The sequence below is a fragment of the Homo sapiens genome, chromosome 6 (assembly GCF_000001405.40).
Source record: "Homo sapiens chromosome 6, GRCh38.p14 Primary Assembly".
NCBI classification, from domain to species: domain Eukaryota; kingdom Metazoa; phylum Chordata; class Mammalia; order Primates; family Hominidae; genus Homo; species Homo sapiens.
The window spans coordinates 41,045,354-41,068,053 of NC_000006.12; the positions used below are offsets into that span (position 1 = coordinate 41,045,354).

Below are 22,700 nucleotides of genomic sequence, written 5' to 3' on the forward strand. Positions count from 1 at the left end.
AGCTGGAAGGCCCAGACACCTTGCAGTAGGGGGTCTCCACCTGCTGCATGATGGGGATCACCAGAATTGTTTAAAAATCCTCATCAGCCTCTCCAGGAAGGAGGCCTGGGCATCAACATTTTTAAAACTTCCCAAGACCTCCTCAGGTGCAGCCAAGGCTGTACCACAGCTGTTTGGAGCTATTTAAAAAAATGCATGTTCCTCAGACCGCACTCAGGACCCATAAATGAGAACGTTGCGGGTGGGCTCTTGGCATCTTCAGATTTAAAACCTCCTGAGCACTTCTGTCAGCTGCTAGCTAGTTTGAGTGCTTTGGGCACAGATCGTTTATCAGGGCCCGTTTAGCCTTGACACTCTGAGGTTTTGTGAGCTGAGTTTTAGAGCTGAAACAAACTGTATGCTCTCAGGTGAGAAGCCAGTAAGGCAGCATAATTTGAGAAGAGGAGTGGCTCTTTCCAGAGCTCACCCAAGAGAGGGAGTCTGCAGCCTCCCCTCCTCCACCAAGGGCATGCTCAGCCCAGTGGGTCAGGTCACAGGCACCCCAGGAGGACACACACAGTGTCCCACCCACCTTTGTATCTCCAGCCCCAGGACAGGGCAGAGCACAGAGTAGGTGCTTGTACGTTTTTATTTGTTGATTAATTGAACGAATAAATGAACACATTGTTGTACTTTAAAAACAAATGCTGACCAGCACCTGCCGCCACCCCTACCCCCACCCCTACTCTGGAACAACTGAAAAAAGAAGGGAAAGGCTTTAATCATTTTGGAAACTCCTGGTTCTAATGTGCAGCCAAACTGAGATGTGCTGCTGCAGGGTATTGCTTCTTACTGCTTCTCAAAGTGTGCCCCAGAGACCTCCTGAGACACTTGTTGGGACTCCAGACCCATGAAATCAGGTCATCTTGGGGAGTGAGAGCAATAGGGTATGGTGATTTGCAGTTCTGGCCATGGAGTCAGACCAACCTGGGGTTGGATATTGACTCTGTTATCTATTAACTGGTAACCTGGTGCAACTTCTAGCTATAAATACTGATGGACAGAGGATAGGCTCGGAACCCAAAATACATGGGTTCTTACCCAGCTCTACCACCATTGTGTGATCTTGGCAAGTGGGCACCCCAGACATTATCTTCCATTATCATTATTATCATCTCATAATAATATATGCATTGTAATATTTGCTACCAATTTTATTCATTACCAGCTAATTCTAGAAGTTAGGTGGAACCTCCAAGAAGATGTATGATGCCTAGGGTATTACTTTGACCTCCCCAAGGCAAGCTGGAGCCACTAACCCATGCCTCTAGCTTAGGACTTAGCCCTAGAAGAAAGCTTAATTTGGGCAGTGTCCCAAGCCCTGGGCTAGCACGACCGCCTGATACAGCATGAGCCAAGCTAAAGAGATTTTTGGCCATGTGCAGAAACTCAGCATGAAAGGGCAGAATCCCAACTCCAAACTCTTATCCTCTAACTCCAAAGTTGTCCTTAAAATCCTCCTCTGCCCCAGCTCCTTGGTTCCTGGGTGAAGGGAGCCCCTAATCCCACAGTCTCCAACCTCCCTGGGGCTCTTATCTTTCCCCTTACCCCACTTCCCAGTTCAGAGCCCAGCCTAGTGGACACCTGCCTTTGCCCCTCCTCTCTTGTTACTTAAGAGCTGTGCCTAAATAGACTTGGAGCTGCCTCTTCTCTTTGCAAGTGTATCCCAAGCTTCCACCATTCAAATTATGTGCACATTTTTGTTCTGAGGCAGTATTTTTCCATTTGCCTCTGATTTGGTTGAGTCGGAGACAGACAAGATCATAAGGCTCTGCAGATCTCCCGTCCAGCGGCTAGAGAGGCACTAGGTAAAACAGCAGACCCAGGAGGTGGCATATCTCATTCTATTGTATCCTAGTTCATCCTTTCCTCTTCTAAACCTTCACTCTTCCTCACTTTGCCAATTTCTGCAGAATGGAAACATAGAGAGGCTAGGTGAGATGGCAGAGTGGTAGGTGTATGTCTAGTGGTCAAAGATTGGTCAGCTGGGCTAGGAACAGGGCAGAGTGTAGGATGTATTTATTCTGCACATCTCTGGCCCCTCCTACCTACAGGCAGGTAGAGCTGCTGCGCAGGAGATGCCTAGAGGCCCCTGAATGTTGTCAGTCCTGGGCCAGGGCTCCAAAGTCTCTTTTCTTTTGTGAATGGCCACTATCTGCTCTGTCGCTTGGGGCTCCCCTGTACCCCAAGCCCAGTTTCAGAGTCTTCCCAGAGGTCCCCTTTCTTGTAGTTCCAGAAAACAAGCACACAATCCTTTTGTTTTAAGGATTTTACTGCTGATTCTCATTAGCAGCTTACAAGGTACTCAGTCCAAAGCCCAACTTTGCTGAGAACTCCCTCAGATCTCGACCTTCCTCTTGTATCCTCAAGTAGAGCCCAAAAAAACATTTACTTGCCTCCCAGACTCCTTCTCCCCCCACCCCCAAATGTTGAGGACACTCCATACATTTAGGCTCTTCTTCTGGTATGGAAGCCAGGGGAAGCCATCCCTGGTCACACCAGGGCCTTGATCATGTTCATCAGGGCCTCATTTGTCCCTTTCCCAGGTCGCCCAGCCCACACAGAGATTATCCGCTAAGACAAGTACCAGAAAAATCCCCCTAGCGTCCACTTGCACCTACTCTAACACATTTCTCATTTTAAGGGCTGAAATTCCCCTCTCAAGTTGATTGTAGTTTGTCACCTCTTCCCAGTAGGTTCTTTGGCCTTGCAAACACCCCTTCAAAGAGGAATACTATTAGTCACCTTAATGTACATGATCCTTATCAGATCACTTTCTTTAAAGACTGAAAGTGCCAGCCACGGGAGCTGGGCAGTGCCAGGAGTAGCCACTGGAATGGAAACCATGGTGACCAGGACTAAAGTCACCATTTTACCCAGGGTGGTGTGTCCCACATGGCAAAGCAAGCATTGTGTCCTGTACAGAAGACTGTAAACTCTGTCCTGCCCTGTGATTCTGGTGCCTTCTCCAATCCCAGCCTCAGACTCTGGGAGACCCTTGGCCCCCTCCCCTCTTCATTGGCCAAGGCTGCTCAAAGCCCTGGACACCTCACGTTTATATCAACAGAGCAGTTGCTAGAGGAAGCAGCCTCCCGCCCTCCAGAGGGGTGTCTGGTGCCCGAGCCCTGTTGTTTGTGTACCTTGTCTCAGTAGTGACCAGAGGGGCAGGCAGGCCTGGGCTGTGTCTCTGGGGCAACGTACTGTTGGGGTCCCAGCTGTCCCTGCACATAAAGCACCGACTCCATCAATGCACCCCTGAGGTATCCTCTTTCAGGGAGTGAGAATTTAAACCTTCCTCTGGTGAGGCTTCTATTTTCCACCAGCCCTGCTCCTGGCCTCTCTGCTCCCTTCCCAATGAGGGCAGCTCCACATCCAGCCAAGATCCAAGGAACAACCATGCCTGACCCTGTCCTCTCCTTCTCAGCCACCTCCTAGAATCTCTGAATGTTTTCTGAAATGACCGTGGGAAACAGGACAGGGAGAGGCATGCTGCAGCGTATCCCAGGCCTAACCCAGCTCCTTTCAGCCACTGCCATCCCAACAGAAGGGGGCAAGGGCCTGCAGAGACAGGCTGGGAGGATTCCAATTTTGGTTTCCATCCCCAGATACTAGCTGTCTGGTGTCTCTTTACCTGTACCCCCAAAACACAGATACACACACACACACACCCCTCATGTACCAATTACTCCCTAGAGTCTGTTTTTCCTGCAAGAACTCCTTCTCAGCTTCTTCAACTCCCACTGGTCTCTGTCCTTCCCTTCTCCCAGAGCTGGGCCTCATGGGTGCTGGCAGCAGTTGAGACTGAATGGTGAAGGAGGTAAAACATGACTCTGGAAGCACATGGCTCTGCCCTCTCTAGCTGCATCACCTTGGGCAAGTCACTTAACCTCTCTGGTCTCAATTTCCTCACCAGAAAAATTAGGATAATAATAGTACCTACCCCAAACATCCTTGTGAGGAATAAATGAGTTAACCTACATAATATTTTAGAGTAATGTCAGGCCAGCAGCAAGGACTGTGTTAATGTCAGCTCTCCTTGTTACTAAATTCCAGGGAATATGACACAGTAGGAGAAGCATGGAACTTGGGAGCTGACAGATATGGGTTCAAATCCCAGCACCCCACTGACTCCACATGTGACCTTGAATGAAATACCTTACTGCCCAGTATCCTCCTGTGCAGGAGGGGGACTACTGATAGAACCTTACCCAATAGGGTTAACACTGGGTGTGGGGTGTGCCAGCCCTGAAGAGTATAGAGGCAGCTGTAGGGAGAGGAGTCAAGCTCCTGGAATCTGATCCCCCAGATTAGTTGCTGCACTCTGGGGTGAGCAGAGTAAACTGGTCTGACTTGGAAAGAAGAGCCAGAGACCAGCCAGGAATTCAGGCCCCCAGGAGGTGCCATAAATAGCTAGAGCAGATCAGAGGGCCTCCAGGGATGGCAGGCTGGGAGACGGGGAAGGCTCAAAGGAGCAGTGAAAAAGGAAGCTGTCAGTCATCAGTCTGGGGGCAGACCCAGGACCCTCTCCCAAAGGTCGAAGGGAAAACTGTCTATAAGTAAGACAGAAGAAAGGGGTCAACTCTTAAGGACCAGCCTGAGACCACCTGGGCACCATTCACTCTGAGCTGTTGGGAGAGGCAGGAAATTCTCGACACGCCATTCACCTGTGGTCTTCACAAGCCCACTCGGCGCCCTATTTTCTGCCCTTTGACCATTTGGAAATAGAAATCAATAGCACAGCCTGTGTCACAGATGGGAAAACGGAGGCTCAGAGATGTCAAGTGATTTGTCCAAGATCACACAGTGAATCGGGCTAAGATGGGGATATGAACGTAGAATATTTTTTGCCTCCTAATCCAGGGTTATACATGACAGCCAAAATAGAAGGCCCTGTCCTCAGGGAGGAAGTCTTTCTTGCAGGGGAACAGTGAACTGAAAGGATCCATCCTCCTTGCTTTCCTCCCCAAGACATTTTACTCTTCCTCCGTTGATCCAAGCATATCACCCTAGCTGGGCCTGGGAAGTGTGAGAGGGATGCACATTTATAATGCTTCAGAGATGTTTCATCAAAGGTAGCTGTGCGCAGCCCTGGGAATAGGCTAAACTTGAACTTGGGCTCTGAAGACCTGAACTCAAAGCCCGTGTGATCTTATACAAATCACTTCACCTTTCTCAGCCACAAGTCCCTAACTTGCAAAATGAGGCCCATAATTCACACCCATGTGAGACTGGTGTAAGGACTAAATGAGATAATGCATGCTTGAATGCTTGATTAATGCCCCAAATATGATAAAAGCTGGGATCCCCTGGTGAGCCAGCACCTTATTTATCTCTGTACTCTTGGTATTTACCACCGCACCTGGAACATAGGAACCTCTGATAAATGTTGACTGAACAAGAAAATGAAGTAAACTCTTTACATTTAAACGTGGTATGTTTGTGTGATAACAACATTCTTTGCAGTTTATCAGCTGCCACTGTCTTTTTATTGTGGACACAGGCACTATTATCTCTACTCAGTGCTTTATTCCCCCCGAAAAATGTTTGAAAAAATAAGATCCAGATAAAAATGCTTTCAGTGGCTGGGCGCGGTGGCTCATGCCACCCAGCATTTTGGGAGGCCAAGGCAGGCGGATCACGAGGTCAGGAGATGGAGACCATCCTGGCCACATGGTGAAACCCTGTCTCTACTAAAATTACAAAAATTAGCTGGGCCTGGTGGCACATGCCAGTAGTCCCAGCTACTTTGGAGGCTGAGGCAGGAGAATCGGTTGAACTCGGGAGGCGGAGGTTGCAGTGAGCCAAGATCGTGCCACTGCACTCCAGTCTGGTGACAGAGTGAGACTCCATCTCAAAAAATAAATAATAATAATCCTTTTAGTAGTAAATCCAAAAGGTAGGGGACCATATAATTTATTGTCCACAGCGGGACACCTTTGGGAGTAAAGGGGTGCTATTAGTAATTATGTCTGGACAACAGGAAGAAACCATGACTGGCAAACCAAAATGCTGGGCATCACACTAACAGAGCACTCTGCTGCTCAGACTCTCTGGAGGAGTGAGCCCTAAATCTTCCAAACCATCTTGACTCCTCTTCTTTAGTCAGACCCTCCAAAGGGTGCCCTACCCTCTCATCCCCACCAGCCAAACCCATTTGGAGCTGTTTTCAGATCCGTTCCCCAGTGTTCTTAGGTTCCTCATTTTCAACCTACAAGTGACCCTGACCCCTTCCTTCTGCTTCCCTGAGAATGGCCTAGAGTGTTTGCACTGCTCCAAACACGAAGACTTTTGCCTCTGCTAAGTACCCATCATGAGAGCTGCAAAAATCATCTAGCCATCCTCTGCTGCTGTTCCGGCTCAGGGTCTTTTCTATGGGCCCCCATCATCTCTCTCTGGCCTCAGTAGGCTTCTCACTGGTCCCCTGCCTCTGCTCTTCCCAAGTGCTCAGACCACCTGTCTCACCTGTTCAGAGACAATGGCTTCCCACCTCAGTCTGAGAAAAAGCAAGGTACTTATGACAGCCCATAAGGCCCCAGTCCCTTTTACCCTTGTTATCTCTCTGGCTTAATCTCTTAGAACTCTTCAGTCACCCAGATGTATGTCCTCGCTAGTTCCTCAAACACCCCAGGAATGCTCCCTTCTCAGAGCCTTTGCTCACGTTGTTCCCTTCCTTGGAACGCTTTCCTCTTAGACAACCAAATGATTAGTTCCCTTGCCTTCTTCACGTCTTCTTCAATTGTCTCCTTTTCAAAGTCCTTCACCCTGGCCATCCTATAAGTACGTAACCCCACCTCTTAGCACTTCCTGTTTCCATTTCCTGTCTTTTCTCCTTGGCACTTGTCATCACAAAATAGACCATGTATTTTACTTACCTTATTTGTTGTTCAGTTCCTCAAGCTCCACAAATCATCACAGCAGGGATTTTCATTTGCTTTGTTCTTTTGCCATATTCCCAGTACCTGAAACAGCACCTGGCATAGAGTAGATACTCAATAAATATTTGTTAAGAAGAATAAAAGACTGACTGTGAGGGCACATAGCATGGAGGTTGAATATTTGGCCTGAAGTACAAAAGCCTGCATTTTAATCCCGGCTCTGCACACTTCTGTGACTCAGTTTACCTGTAACTTGGGATAATACACATCGCCTCCCATGGCTGTGGCAAGCATGCATCTGATTTCATTTAAACCCCTAAACCCACTGCCTGGCCTGTTTCAAAATCTCTGAGCTAAGTAAATGGCAGCTATTGTTACTCAGGGAGGCTCCTGATCGATTTGACATTACATTATGGCTTTGTAACAGGCAAATCAGCACCCACCGCTTTTGAGTCATAACTCACACACTTACTCCCCAAATTGTCAGTTTTGATCCCACCTCTGCCAGGACCCCTCCTTTCCTGAACCCACGTTCCCCCAAAGCAAATGGCCTGGGTCTTTTTGCAGTCAGCCCCTTTCAACACACATCTCCTCCTGTTTAAATCTCAGAAGGCCACCCTCCTAAATCTCAGGATGCCTGCCCTGGGGCCCCTTCCACACTCTCCCCCAGTGGAGCTAGGGAATTTGGGTGGGAAACAAAGGGGAGAACATAAGGTGAGCTGAGAGGGAGAGGGAGAAGAGAGCAGGCCAAGCCATACCCACCTGCCAGGTTCCTGTCTTTGCCTACTGATAAATAGGGGATACTAATGGCCAGATTTTCCATTCCCCCACCCCAGCACCCGCTGTCACTCAATTAAAAAAAGATAGAGGGAGAGAGCCTGGGGGAGGGGCAGGAGGCCTTGGCTATAAAGCCTGTGGCTAAGTGGGGAAAGCACGAAGCCTGGCCTGCTGGGTCCTTTTCCCGTCATCCCCAGCCAGATTTAGCTGCTGACAGCTGCTTGGGACTCTGCCGCCAGGGCCTGGCCCAGACCTGCCTGCCTCTCTCCTCTCCCTCAGTGACTCCTGAGCCACAGCCCCTCCATGGCCCAGAAGGAAGAGGCTGCTGTGGCCACTGAGGCTGCCTCCCAGAATGGGGAGGATCTGGAGAACCTGGACGACCCTGAGAAGCTGAAAGAGCTGATTGAGCTGCCGCCCTTTGAGATTGTCACAGGGTAAGCCTCAGATGTGGGTCAGGGTTCTGCTCCCTAGAAGAGTGCAGCCTTGGGTTAGGCTGTGGAAATTCAGGATGGTTATATTAGGCGTCAGGGACAGCTACAACCCTGCAGCAGTGAGAGTGCACCAGTGGGCCCGGCAGGGGTGGTAGGGGACCCAGCAGCAAATTCTCTTGGCTTCTCAGGGTGACACCTTGGGCTCTCTAATCAGGGAGAGGTAGGAGGAGCTCCTTGGAGGCAAAAGCCCAGAGAATAAAACCACCCTTCAGGCCTCCTGGTATTGGGATGGCCACCTGCCTCTCTGGGTAGAAGCTTAGTCCCAGGGAGTTTGGCGAGGACAGAGGATGAGACTGGCACATCTATATGTGGCTCCGTTCAAAGCAACCCTTCCCCTCAACTTCTCTGTTCCTGAGTGGGTCTCTCCGCTAGCCATAGGCCTCTAGCCCTTTCTTTAGAGCTTCTTCCTGGAGTAGATGCTCCCAAGACAGGAAAGATAGATCCATCCTTTCCCAAGACTCAGAAGCAGCTTTTTTCTTATTAAATCTTTTGAGTCTCCTCAGGGGCTGTCCCACAGAGAAACAGAGAAATTACATGCAGATAACGCAGCCCAGGAGCTTATGGACACAGGAGCTGTTCCAACATGCTCAGGCATTGCCTGGAGGAACTGGGACCCAAAGAAAAGGGTCTACAGACTGCAAGGAGGGGGCTGTGTGCAGGGTACCTCTGTCTTATCCAGATTATGCCATCTCCAGGAATAAAACTAAGTAGTCTTCTTCCTCTTCCCTTTCTATTCCTGTAGTGGAAGACCCTTCTAAATCCTGAGCAAAGAATAAAAAGAGAATCTATGAGGCCATATTTCCTCCTTGAACCAAACGTTCCCTTCATGGGGTCTCCAGGAATGACCACAGGCAGAGTGGGTGCGAGACTAAGAGAAGTTTCAGGAAGAAAGGAGGCATGATGCTTTCAAGGGGGAAAGGAAGCCCTGAGTGGCAATTTGGACTTGATATTTCAAGCTTGACAAGTGATTTTCCAGTCAGCCACAGTTTTAGCACTTATAACATGAAGATCTATAGTAGTAAGGTCCCTTCCAGCTCAGATGTTTTCTGATTTTCAAGAGAACCTAAGGGAAAATGCATCCTATTTCCTGAGGCAAGAGTAGCCCCTGAATTTCCATTTGCCCATGCCCACCCAACTAATCTCACCCTCATCCTAGGATTAAGGGAGCAGCTGGGCACAGATTAATATAGACACAGGGAAAGCCTAAGGCAGCCTGGCCAGGAGAGTCCTCAATTCCAGTGGCTTTCTTATGGAAGGAGAGCCTTTTTCTAACACCTAAGCATGCTGGTATACGCTATCCTTAGTCATACACACACGCGTGTGCACACTACACTCTTGTGTGGCTTTCCAACACAGAGGGAGGGTAGGTCAAGAACAGAATTAGACTATGTTTGTTCAGCTGAACATGCTTTGGGGGTCCCAGAGCAATGGATCCTGAAGGGTTAAGTCCACTGATATAACTTACATTTGTCCAGGGCTTTATAATCACAACATAGTTTCATGAACATGAGACCATTCAACACTCAGCACAAAGGTAGGAGAGGGAGATATATTATTGCCACTTTACAGAGGGGGAAACTGAGACTCAGAGAGATTGAATGGTATGTCCAAAACCACAGAACTGGTAGGTGGCACATCTTCTTACTCCCAGCAAAGTATCCTTTCTACTGGTTTCTTATTCATTCTGGATCCCAGGTTTCCCAGAGCTCCACGTTATCTCTATCTGGGAGGTAGTGAGGACCCAAGGCTCAGAAAAAGGGGCACAGAAGGGGCAACGTTCTGAGCATTCTGTGAACAGTTCAGGTGGGAGCAGAGCGCTGAGTGTTTCCTGGCCACAAGTAACAGCTGTAGAGAGCTGTCTCCTGGGCCCCTCTGGGTAAACAGATGGCTTAAAATAGCCCAGAGGTGCAGCTGGGTCTGTGCAGGGAGAGGGTGAGGGAATAGCTTTCCTCTCCTTCCCTCTTGAGATGCATTCCCCCCAGGACTCCCTCCTGGAGTCAAGGGGGTCAGCAAAGCAGCTTTTCTAGCCTGGTCTCCTATAGGGAAGATCTTTAGTGCTCCTTATATTTGGGCCAAAAACTAGCAGAAGAGCAGGTAGCTTTTCCGGAAACAGTCCGACATGAGGAGGGTAGCTGGTAGGAAGGAGAGATGCCCAGCTCATAGCGATTCTGGTTGAATAGGGCATTCAGGATAGAAAGCGGAACTGAGCACATTAACAAAATAACATGGTAGAATGTTCTGGAAAAGGGCCTAAGCCTGCCGTAGCGTGCTGAAGCCAGTTCCTGTTGGTTCACAAGTCTCTTCCCTACTCTGCATCCAGTGATATCACCTCGGGAGCTTGAAATCTCTGTAATGGGAGTACTTACCTTATGGAAATCAGCAAACTTTAGAAATTGGGGATTCTTCCTTCTATCAGAGAGATGAGTGTTACACTTATCAGCACACCATTGAAAACCAGAAACCTCTGAAAGTGAGAGGAAGAGCAGTGGGAAAGGGATCAGGTTTGGTAATGCTTAAGACGGAGCTCTGAAGGATACAATTTGAGGCCTGGAGAAGGCATCATATGTATCATACATCAATTTCCTTTTTCTTTTTTGGAGATGGGGTCTTGCTTCTTGCTCTGTTGCCCAGGATGGAGTGCAGTGGTGCAATCACAGCTCACTGTCGTCGCAACCTCCCGGGCTCAGGTGATCTTCCTGCCTCAGCCTCCCAAGTAGCTAAGACTACAGGTGCATGCCACCACGCCCAGCTAATCTTTGTATTTTTATAGAGATGGGTTCTGACTGTGTTGCCCAGGCTGCTCTCAAACTCCTGGCTTCAAGCAATCCTCATGCCTCAGCCTCCCAAAGTGCTGGGACTATTGGCGTGGGCCACTGTGCCCAGACTAGCTTTGAGTGTCTACTGTTGTCCAAAACCTTAGAAGTTAGATTACTCACTCTTTCAGGTGAGGAAACTAAGCCTCAGAGGGATTAAGTCATATGGCCAAAGCTTGTTGATGGAGTAGGATGTGAACCCCAGGACTGTCTGACTCCAAATCATCACACTGCATCCAAAAAACCAGAGAGGATTCTTTTTATATTTACTGAATAAGAGTTTTTCATTTACTGCCTGTTTCCCCTGTTAGTATTTAACCTCTATGAGGACAGCACTTTGTCTTTTTCACTGCTTTATCTTTAGCACCTAGCTCCTGATAGGTACTCAATACGTATTTGTTGAATAAATGAATGACCTAATGAATAAGAACCTTTTGGGTGGTTCTTAGGCTCTCTGTCAGACAAGACAGGGAATGAACTGGGGGAGGGTTTCTTGAGGACAGCAGCTCAGGGTGTATGACGATCCAGCAACACTAGATTTAGGTAAGAATTCCCCTGGCTCATGCCTGCTTCTGGACACAGCACGTTTTAGTAGAGCTCTGGGGCACGAGAGCTGGTTGTCTCCCCAGCTTTCCAACCCAGTGAGAAGTGACTGTGGCTCTGCCTGGCAGCACCCTTGATGTGAGCTTGGCTTTGTCTCTAGTTATGTTGTATATGTTTTTACAGAAAGCAGAACCTCCTATCCCAGGGATTATTATGGAACAAAGATAAATGGCACACAGAGTGATTCTTCTTCTAACCACTTCTTTAGCTACCAGTAGTTTACTCTAGCCATGTAAGGAACACAGAGAGGCAGTGTCCAGAGGAGAAGGGTGAGATAAGGAGTGAGGGGACTTCGACACCAGTTAACACCAGCCACAGCCCTTTACCCTCACCCTGGCCTCTGGAGCACGCTGGGTGGTGTGTCACCAAGAAGAGAAGGCAGCGCACTGACTCTGGCCAACCTGCCTTCCACAGAGGGTTGGGGGCAGGTCAAAGCTCAGGTGTGAAGACCATGCCTACCAGGGAAAACAGGCAAGTTCAGGGTTTCCCTTGGGCAAAATCCCATCCAGTCCCACAGTCTGGAGTTCCCTTCTCAGCTCTAGGGAGTCAGGCTGCTAGAACCCTCTGCTCCTGCTCTTACTACTCTTTCTGATTATGCCCACTCCTTGGTATCCGCTTTGAAAAGTGGTCTGAGAAAGCAGAAGGCCAATGAAACCAGCAATCCTCCCTCTTTCACGCCAGTCACCAACAGGTCTAGTGAGGGAAAGCTGAAACAAGTCAACACATAATTACCTATGAGTAGATTTTTCCACTCATGGATTATTCTGGAGCAAATGTTTAATCTCAGTCCAGCTTCAACTGCCCTCTGGGTTGCTTCCTTTCACAGTATAGATTTACGCTTAGAAAATTCAAACGTTTTGAATGTGAACCTGAGAAAAATGTATTACATTTACTCACATCCCTTCTCCCTCCATCAAGCAGATTATCTTCCCAATTTTTTTTCTAGATATTTGGACTCTCTGTTTCCTCCCAAGTGAACTGAAATGTCCAGTAGCCTGGGTCTAAGCAGATGAAGTGTGACTGGTCTTGTTTGGAGAAAGTATGAGGAAATGGTGCTTAACAAGGTGCTATCAGAGGCTGGGGAGAGGGAATAGAAATCAGGCTGTAGGTTTCTACGCATGAGGAAGTGACTGGATCAGGGAAAGAAATCTACTACCAGCATCTCTCTCCTGACCACCACCCACCACCACCACCCCACCCCACACACACACACACACACACACACACACACACACACGTTTCTACGCATGAGGAAGTGACTGGATCAGGGAAAGAAATCTACTACCAGCATCTCTCTACTGACCACCACCCACCACCACCACCCCACCACACACCCACACACACACACACACACACAGGTTTCTACGCATGAGGAAGTGACTGGATCAGGGAAAGAAATCTACTACCAGCATCTCTCTACTGACCACCACCCACCAACACCACCCCACCACACACACACACACACACACACACACTCACACACACACACACCCCCACCCCTTTACCAGTAAAATATTTTCTGGGTTAAATGTAAAGGGCTATAGTTAAATATGATACTTAGGCCTATCATGCTACTTAAAAAAAACTGCTGGTGATGATTTAACAAGTTAGGTGTCATTATTTCCTTCCTTCCACTAGTGGGCATAATAGTGTTAATTTATTCTGTGAGTCTACAAAATTGCCCAAGATGGCCATGTTGTCTAGTTCCCTGGAGAAATTCCAGACTTCTACTACCTCTGTTCTCCTGGTTTCCCCCCAGGACGTAGCTATTTCGGTCTGTGAGAGGCCTAAAGAATCTCATCTGACCTTTTTGCTCCTTCTAGAAGACCAAGAAACCCATTCAGAAATCAAGCAAGTTTAGTCTCTGAGCAAGCCCAAGGGAACGACTAGGAACCAAACCTTCCCTGCCTTTCCTTTGCTCCTTGAAAGCACTTCTTTTCCTGAGGCATCTAGTCCAGAAGGCCCTGCTGAGGGACAGAGTAGATTCTAGGGCTGCTGGCCAGAGGGGTTGGAAACCCGTATTTATAGAGAGATGACCTTTCTTCCTCTCCCTTGGGTTTCAGGTTTCTTTGGGTCTTCTCCTCTTGCCTAGGGAAGAGGAGGAGGGGAAAATGTCAGAGCTTAAGAAGGGCAGAAAGAAACAGTCACCTCACAACCATCAAAGCCAATTTGCAATTGCATGCTGGGCCAAATTCACACTGGCCTAAATTCATACTTTCAGCTGAGCTATAGGGAGCTCCAGAAGGAAAAGAGGGACCACACAGCAGCTACTGTTTAAGCTTCCAAGCTATTTGAGTAGCCATGAATACTTGCCAGGGTTCCACCTGATAATCCATCATATAGGTGGCCCTGGATTAGACTTGGGGAGTGGGGCAAAAGGTCTTGAAGAGCAAGTTTGGGCAGGAACGGTAAGCTCTGAGCTTCTCAAAAGCAAAAAGCCACTCCAGGAAGTGAAGGGACCATTTGGCAACTGGTAAAGTTGAGGAGTGGTCTGGTGGGGTGAGTACCTTTGGGGAGCACTCACTATAAGTGAACGCCTGACAGGGATTGAGAAGAGGAGCAGGGAAACATCAGGCGATCCATTCTCCTAAAATGTTAAGTAAACAATAAACACCTCCAACTAGGGACACAGGGGCTTAGAGAGCTAAGTATAGTACCTGATGGAATCCTGGGGCTGGGTCCTCAAACACATCCATCTCCACAGTGGAAAATGAACCTGACAGCACGGGACATGGAAACTTGGGTGGATACATTTTGGTGATGGGTGGGGGTGAGGGAATCCTGCAGGGAAATAAGTCAAGTTTACTCATATCTTTGGCATCTGCTGCTCATCCCTAGGCAGCCAAGGCCCTGGGATACCAGGGATTCCCCTGCAGCCCAGGGAGTCTGTTGACTTCTTTGGGGAAAGAGAAGAGGTGGAGACAGGCAATAGTAGAATTAATGGTGCCATAGGTATCTCTTGGGGCAGGCAGAGAGATTACATTTTTAAAAAGGAAAACATTGAATCTTTCTAGCTGGTACTCATCTCCTCCTCTCTTGACATTTTTCATCTCTCCTATTAAAAATTCATTTTCTTTGGACTTCAAACTTGAACAAATCTTGCCTATTTTAGAAAAACACACACATACACATAAAAGTAAAAACAATCTTCAACTCTGATGTCTTCTCTGGCCCTTCTCTTTTTTCTTCTCCTTGTTATTACCAAAATTTTCAAAATTCCTGGACTTTTCCTGCTGTTTTCATTTCCTAACCATCCATCTCCTCCTCAAAGGCACCCACACAATTCATCACCAAGTTTAGTGTCCTAAGATACCTACTGGACTTGTTCAATTTGAGGCTTTTCCTCAGCTTCACACTATCTGCCTATTGCCAAGACTGTAATCTTGCATGGACATCATTTTTATTGTTTTCCTTCTCAAGAACCTGTAACAATTCTCTACTGCCTCCCGAATCAAGGCCAAACTTTCGAGAACCTTCATAATACTTCCTTTACTGTACCTATCCAATTTTAGCAGTCTTATAATGTTCTCAGCTGTTTTATTTACATCTTCTCTGTCCAGCTGCAATCTAGCTGCTAAATTATAAGCATCTGGAGGGCAGAGACCAAGTCCTTTAAGATTTGGAGGTGACTCAATACTAAATACAGGCTTAACTATCCCAAGATACCCTTGAGTAGTCTGTCCTCACAGATAAAAATTCTTGGACACTTAGCATGTGACAATCCCTTTACCTGAAAGTAAACAGACTTGAGAAGTAGTCACTTGAGAAGGAGAGCATGTTATTGCAAGTTTTAGGCCATTTCATGCCAAGATGCAATTTACATGAGTTACAAGGAAGAGAAAAAAGCATAAAATGCTCTGCAAAATCTTTGTTTTGCTCTGTCATGAGAAATTTTATATGCTTGCTACTTACCTGGCCACTTATTGGAATCATCCAGAGAGCTTTTTAAAAATACTGATGCTTGGACCACCTCTCCACATGTTCTGATTTAATTGGTTTGGCATGAGGCCCAGGCACTGACATTCTCAGTCTTCTAGGTGATTCTAAGGTATAGGCAGGTTAAAGATTCAGTGATTTAGAAATGTAGGGGTATGTTGTGCTGGAAGAGTGATGGTGGAGACAATGTCCTAGTAGGGTGACCAAAATGCACACCTCAGTCCAAATTCTCCTCTCCTTCAGATAAACCCTTCTGGATTTTTTAATGCTTTTTTTTTTTTTTTTTTTTTTGTCACTGATGTTACCACAGACAAGACCTATTTATAGTAAGAGTGAATGCATTTCTGAAGTACTGACCTGGAAGAGCTACCTACTCTAGGCTGGTTCTAGAAACAAGAACTTATCATTCTTTCCTGTCCTTTTGTCTCCTTGACCTACAGAGAACGGCTGCCTGCCAACTTCTTTAAATTCCAGTTCCGGAATGTGGAGTACAGTTCCGGGAGGAACAAGACCTTCCTCTGCTATGTGGTTGAAGCACAGGGCAAGGGGGGCCAAGTGCAGGCATCTCGGGGATACCTAGAGGATGAGCATGCGGCTGCCCATGCAGAGGAAGCTTTCTTCAACACCATCCTGCCAGCCTTCGACCCAGCCCTGCGGTACAATGTCACCTGGTATGTGTCCTCCAGCCCCTGTGCAGCGTGTGCTGACCGCATTATCAAAACCCTTAGCAAGACCAAGAACCTGCGTCTGCTCATTCTGGTGGGTCGACTCTTCATGTGGGAGGAGCCGGAGATCCAGGCTGCTCTGAAGAAGCTGAAGGAGGCTGGCTGTAAACTGCGCATCATGAAGCCCCAGGACTTCGAATATGTCTGGCAGAATTTTGTGGAGCAAGAAGAGGGTGAATCCAAGGCCTTTCAGCCCTGGGAGGACATTCAGGAGAACTTCCTATACTACGAGGAGAAGTTGGCAGACATCCTGAAGTAGGGCAACTGGGCTTTGCCTCACGTGAGTTTTCCTGGTGCCATGGCACCAACACTTTATTATGTTAACTCCAGTAGAAGGTGTGAGGTCAGGTAGAATCTGTGATATGTCTGATTTTCCTTTGGAAGGGTTTCATTTCTCTGCTTTTGACTGGTTGCAAAAATAGTTTAGAACATGTCTCTTTCCTCTGAATCCCTCTCTAAACTTTTCCCTCCCACACTTTTGTATCAAAGTAACTTTCCCCTAACTTAGAATACTCAAGGTTGACAGGAATCCTAAAACTTTCATGAGGCAAGATGACGTTCTTTGGTAAGATTTAGATGGTGCAAGCACCTGCTACTGAACCACAGCAGAGAAGATACTGAAATCCTCTGAGTATGCCCCTGTGTACATGTCAGGGATTACTAATTCCAGACATCTTCTAGATGCCTCACTCCCATATCCACTGGCAATCTTACCATTCCATTTTTCTCTAATGAATGTTTTTTAGTCCTTCAGGGACAATTTTTTCACTTATGGTAATTTTGAAATTCCCCAAATGGACTGGTATTTAACTTGTTTTAAGCCAGACCTGCTTTCATGTTTTCAAACAAATGGCTACACTTTGAAGGAGACCAACAATTGCTGTGTGAAAATACAATACGGGAACATTTTCCTTATGTTGAGAAGACCTCAGTAGAATTCATGGAGGATGTCGAATGCAGGAATGGGGATAATATAGCAACAAGCTAGTCCATGCAGGAACATTTAAAGAGTTAAAAAGACATTTGTAAAGTAGGCAGCAGCTCAGAAGTAACCTCTTACAGATATCAAGAGGTGATAGGAGAAAGATTAGCTATTTAAGCAAATAATTAGGACACAATTAAGGCCAATTTGGCCTCTTGCTGAGGGTAAATTAAACTCTAACAGAAACAGGCTAATTACCCTCAGGAAAGAGGGCTAAAGGATCCTTTACTATCTTTTTTACATTTAGTCTGATTGAGTTTGCGCCTACAGAAATGCTATGACGAAGCCCCCTTTGCAAGGCCCCAGTTACTGATCAAAATCTTCCAGTAATAGAGGAGGGGTACTCACGACACTCTTACCCAACTTTAATCCTGCAACAACTCACATATTACTAAAACATGAAAACAACAAGCTTCCATGAAGATAATTTACTTTTGGTCTCTCTCACTCCTAACACCCTTAAGAGAAGATGTCGCTTCATAGACACGTTTAGGAAATATCAATGTTCCAGAGCTTGATGTTGGCAGGTGTTTTCTATTAGACATGCACATGGGCACCTGATCATTCTCAAGCTGAGCATTTGCCAACCCATGAAGATACAACTTTCAGCCATTTCTTTTAAAAAGCAGGACCCAGTCACTGAAGTCAGTGAGCCTATGATAGGGTATACTGTGTGGTACTCTGCTCACATAAAATAAGACACTTTATAGTGGTGAACAGTAGTCAAAACAGATTTCTGAGGGTGCCCTCTGAGAATATAAAATTTAACTTTTAGAATTCCTTGAAGATTTTGTTAGTGTATGTACTATCACTGTAATTATAAACCCAACATAGATTCTACAGACTAACCGGCAGCTTAAAATTTAACCCCAGTATATTTTCCTTTCAGACATCTTTCAGAGTCAAGGGCCCAGGTGCCTAACTAGCAAGTCCTTAGAGCTTTTTTTTTTTTTTTTTTTTTTCAGTGATTTCAAATATAACTGTATTATCTGGACCCATTAACATGCTTCCCTGTCTTCTATTTGAATTGCTCATGTTTGTGAAGGGAAAGGTTAAGATATATCAAGTTAAAAAAAAAAAAACTGGCATGAGATAAGAGTGTAATCTAAAAGCCCAAAAGAACAACCCTGCTTAATTAAAATAATCTTGAGAAATGAGCATTTGTTAAATAAAGTGTCTTATTTTACATACTTATTTCATCTTTCTTTTTTTTTTTTTTAATGACAAAATAGTATTTAATCCTATATTTAGTCAAAAGACCAGAGTTAAACCAGATCTCTTCTGGGGCTTTTTCTGTGTAAACCACATCAAAACATGAACGAAAGACTGGCTTCTGGTTTAGTCAATCCTGGTAAATTTACCCAATCCTGCAAAGGAAACTATGGAGGAGAAATCCAGGGACTTGTTGGGAAGGGCACACAGAAACCTTAGTTCAAAAAGAAACTAGTCATTGTTCGGGGCCAGCAGAGCTCTCAGTAACACATTTTCTTTGTTTGTTTTACCAAGGTATTCCTGCTGCCACCAAGAGACAGCAATGACATGTACAGCCATCTGGGACATGCCTGTCTTCCTAATACCATTTGGAGCTGGACAACATTTGACACCAACCAATCATACTGGACAAGGCCCTTAGAGGACTTGAAATATACTTCTCATGCTGTAGTTTATTTAGGCTGTGACTCTCTCTCTAATGCTGCTCTCGGGAAGGACGAAAGTGACCTGCAAGGAGAGAAATGCAACCATACATGGGCTCCAGTCAACTATGGGACTGAAGGTCCTAATTGCTCACCCAAGGGGGCTGCTTAACACAAACAGCCTCAGACCCGAGGTTTAGATTTCTGAAATATGCATTTTATGTTAAGTTGGGTATTTTTTTAAAAAAAGAAAAACAGCAACATTAATAAAAGAAGTGGTGTGTTTTTCCCGTGGCCAGATTTTTAAGAAACTTGAACATCTGGAAGTTGCCACAGACAAGCGAGCTAGTCCAGACACAGGGACACTCCAGGCTATGAACCAAGCCATGGTTAAACCAAGACTTGCCTAGACAATGCAGAATAACTCTCCCATACAGACTTCTTACGACAATCAAGTGAGGGCCTTTCCCTTCTCTGAAGGCAAGTAATAGGGCAGAAGGTGGAACAAAAAGCATGAGAAATCTAAGGTAGCCACATCCCAAATGCCAGTTAATAAGCAACTAGCTTCTTTATTAGAGAGGAGCGGGTGAAAAGTAGTAGTTTAATGTTCAGATATACAATCATTTAAAAGTATTCAATACATGGTGTTTGATGGTAATGGCAGGATGATGTCAAGTCTCTCTTTTTTTTTTTTTAAAGGTTTGTTTGAGTCCTATGTGGAAGCAAAAATTCACAGGTGAATTTCCGGGTGTTTGCCAAACTCTAACTAGGTTTCCAGGAATAATGTGTTCACTCTGATTACCAGGGCATGCCTCCTTTCCTCAGGCTTCAAGTGTGATAAGTCGTCGGAATTTGACCCAAGACTACTATCGGCAAATGACAAAGTGCTTTATCACATTCCTGCTAAGTCCCAGAATTCCACTTACAGCCAATCCTGAATGAGACTAGGTTTTGTCTAAAGAATCAAGGCTCAAACGCCAAGAAAAAAATAATAATAATAACCATAATCTCTTTAAAAGTAAAGGAAGCCTAGAAAATCCATGTTTTGACTTGTGTTAAGGTTTACAGATGGTACTCAATTTACAATGGTTTGTCTTGCAATTTTTGGACTTTACAACGGTGCAAAAGCCATACACATTCAGTACACCCTTCAACTGAACTCAACTTAAGATGGGGTTACCCAGACATAGACCTAAGTTGAGGAGCATCTGTAATTGCAGAGTTAAGCAAAATATTTTAAGTTTCTTTAAGTTTCTTATCCCCCACTCTCACTTTCAATTTTGTGTATTTAGATAATCTCTCCTTCCTTTTTCCCTTCAACTTTATGTGGACAAAAGCAATGCTTCAAGAAAAGCCTCAATCTAAAAGTTTGATAATGAACTTGACCCTCCACTGCCCCTACCCCAACAACATGAAGAACTTGTCTGTTCCACCTAGAAATACAAAAGTGAAATACTTTTTTGAAACTGTTGCCTCTTATCAGGCTGATATGTGATAAGAACACAGTCTAAAGTACAAAGATTATATTTAACCAGTACTTTCCTGGTGTTTTAACCAGCCCCTTCTAAAATACAGTTGTTCTTTTATACTTGGGAAAGCAGCAAGTCCTGTGACAGACCCAAAGTCACTCTAGGGAGAAAATCAATAGCAAGTCTGGCTGTTTTAACTCTCAACACCACTGTAAGGGAAAACAAGAAAATGTCTAGTTTCCCGAATAGCTCTGATACTGAACCATTGGCTAAATCCATGAACTTTATTTTCCTACCATGACCACAATAGACGACTGGTCTTTGCAGCTTCGGAAGAAAAGAGGACTAATATTTAGACCCCAGCTGGCTGCACATCCAAATCTTCTATGGAGGTTAAAAACACAAAAGTGGCCATCCCACTCCACCACCAAATTTTTTTTTTTAATTGAGATAGGGTCTTGCTCTGTTGCCCACACTGGAGTGCAGTGGCACAATCACAGCTCAATGCAACTTCAACCTCCCAGGCTCAAGCCATCCTCCCGCCTCAACCTCTAGAGTAGCTGGAACTACAGGCCTGCACCACCAGGCCCAGCTAATTTTTAATTTCTTTTTTTTTTGTAGAGACAGGGTCTCGCTATGTTAACCAGGTTTGTCTCAAACTCCTGGGCTCAAGTCATCCTCCAGTCTCAGCCTCTCAAAGTGCTGAGATGACAGGTATGAGAATTTTTTGAGAGGAAGTGGCCTTTATTTTTTTAAAGAAGACTCATAAGGATTTTTGACAATCACTGATTTATTGGGTCACTAGTCTGTGCTAAGTACTCTGCCAGGCATTTAACATACATTATTTCACTTGTTTTCATGATTAAATTCAGGCAGGTTCAATCACAGAAACCATGCAGTGGACAAAAGAGAGAAAAAGTTCACCATGAGGAGATTCTAAAAACCTGCCTTTTGACTTGTCTATTTTTATCTCTTATTTCTCACTTTGCTTCTCCTCCCGCTTGGACCCTTTGTCTGACTGTTTGAAATTAAGTTGCAGGTGAACCCTCCATTACCCATGTCCAGAACAAATAGACATAAGCACAGAACCTCACTAACTCCCCAAATTTTTATTTTTCCATTTTTATCACCACAAATTTCTTGGTAACAATGTAGAATTTAATTTTGTAATTAAAACAAAAACTCTCCCCTAGGAGGAATCTGATGACATAAGGATAACACCAAGTTATGTGCACAAACGACAAAAAATGCCAAACTAACTGGAATGATCATCCTTCCTGAAATTTCTCTTAAAAAGCAGAGAAGTAGAACCAATGCTGCCACCTAGTGGCCAGCCAAACAAATCAGGTAGCATACTGGAGAAAAAGGTCATAGTCCCGACAATCTGGTTTCCCTGCCTATTATCAAGCCACCTAACTCCTTACTTTTCCACAAAAAAACACAACCACATATCTTAAGCAAGCCCTCCTCCACAGTCATAATCCAAATACTTGAATACAGCAACCAAAGTCTGTCTTGTTAAACACACTACTTCTCATGAAACTTTCCTCTGCCTATTTTAAGGTAGGTTTGCCCGGTCCTATGGCCCAGTAGAGATGACACAGGAGAACACGGAAACATCCAAAATGTTCACTGGTTCAGAGTGTGTACACAGTAATTTTGATGTCTGTTGCCTCAAATACCTCCTCGATCATCGCAGATACATTTTCCCATTGCAGACGATCAAGACCACATCCAATCCTGAAAAAGACAAAATATCTCCATTGATGGTAACGAAAGTATCTAGGAAACTGCTCCTCTCTTTTAAGCTATATCCACTCAAAGCATAAAAACAAATAATCTAGTCTGACACCCTTATGGGCAACCATGGTAGGAGTTTGGAAGTCAATTCTTGTTGTGAGTCACCGAAGACCATTCCTAGACAGCTCTAACATCCAAAAACTATCACTTCTGTTTGCCTAATAAGATACTACTTTCCAACTATTTCATGCTACATTTAGAAATGTGTAACTGTCATGACATTAGAGACTCATTATCCCTCTATGACTACTGACTAAAATTGGCTGTGGATGGATGGTGAAAGGTTGGTATTTTAAAAATGCACTTATGGTAACAGAATGTTAACGAAAGTAAGGAGAAGAGGAATGAGGTACAGGATCTGCAAAAAAGAAAGTCAAGAGGGAATGCTGGGAAATGGTAAGATAGTTGCAATCCAGGAGTAAGGTCTTTGCAACACCCTGGTAAGAATAAACTCAGTCCATAAAACTCTACTACTTGGCACCTTCCAAGATGTTACTCTAGTGATCCTCAACACGCCTAGGGAAAAAAGAGACCTAAAATTGGTAATTTCATGTCA

General features: G+C 45.5%; 2 protein-coding genes across 14 annotated transcripts in view; one reads left to right on the forward strand and one right to left on the reverse strand.

Annotated features, from left to right (window-relative positions):
- Window positions 1-7,848: 7,848 nt before the first annotated feature.
- Window positions 7,849-19,538, forward strand: APOBEC2 (apolipoprotein B mRNA editing enzyme catalytic subunit 2). Its single transcript, NM_006789.4, has 3 exons — window positions 7,849-8,125; window positions 15,975-16,539; window positions 18,748-19,538. The coding sequence occupies exons 1-2, from the start codon at window positions 7,995-7,997 to the stop codon at window positions 16,516-16,518; spliced, it is 675 nt and encodes a 224-aa protein (NP_006780.1). The 5' UTR covers window positions 7,849-7,994; the 3' UTR covers window positions 16,519-16,539; window positions 18,748-19,538.
- Window positions 19,419-22,700, reverse strand: part of OARD1 (O-acyl-ADP-ribose deacylase 1) — a 33,016-nt gene continuing 29,734 nt past the window's right edge. For 10 of the 13 annotated variants that reach the window (NM_001329690.2, NM_001329684.2, NM_001329689.2 and 7 more), the window contains one exon: window positions 19,419-22,084. In NM_001329690.2, coding sequence (NP_001316619.1) covers window positions 22,067-22,084 — 18 coding nt within the window. In that variant the 3' untranslated portion in view covers window positions 19,419-22,066. The remainder of the gene's footprint in view (window positions 22,085-22,700) is intronic. The other 3 variants (NM_001329695.1, NM_001329692.1, NM_001329685.1) reach the window with 1 other exon arrangement.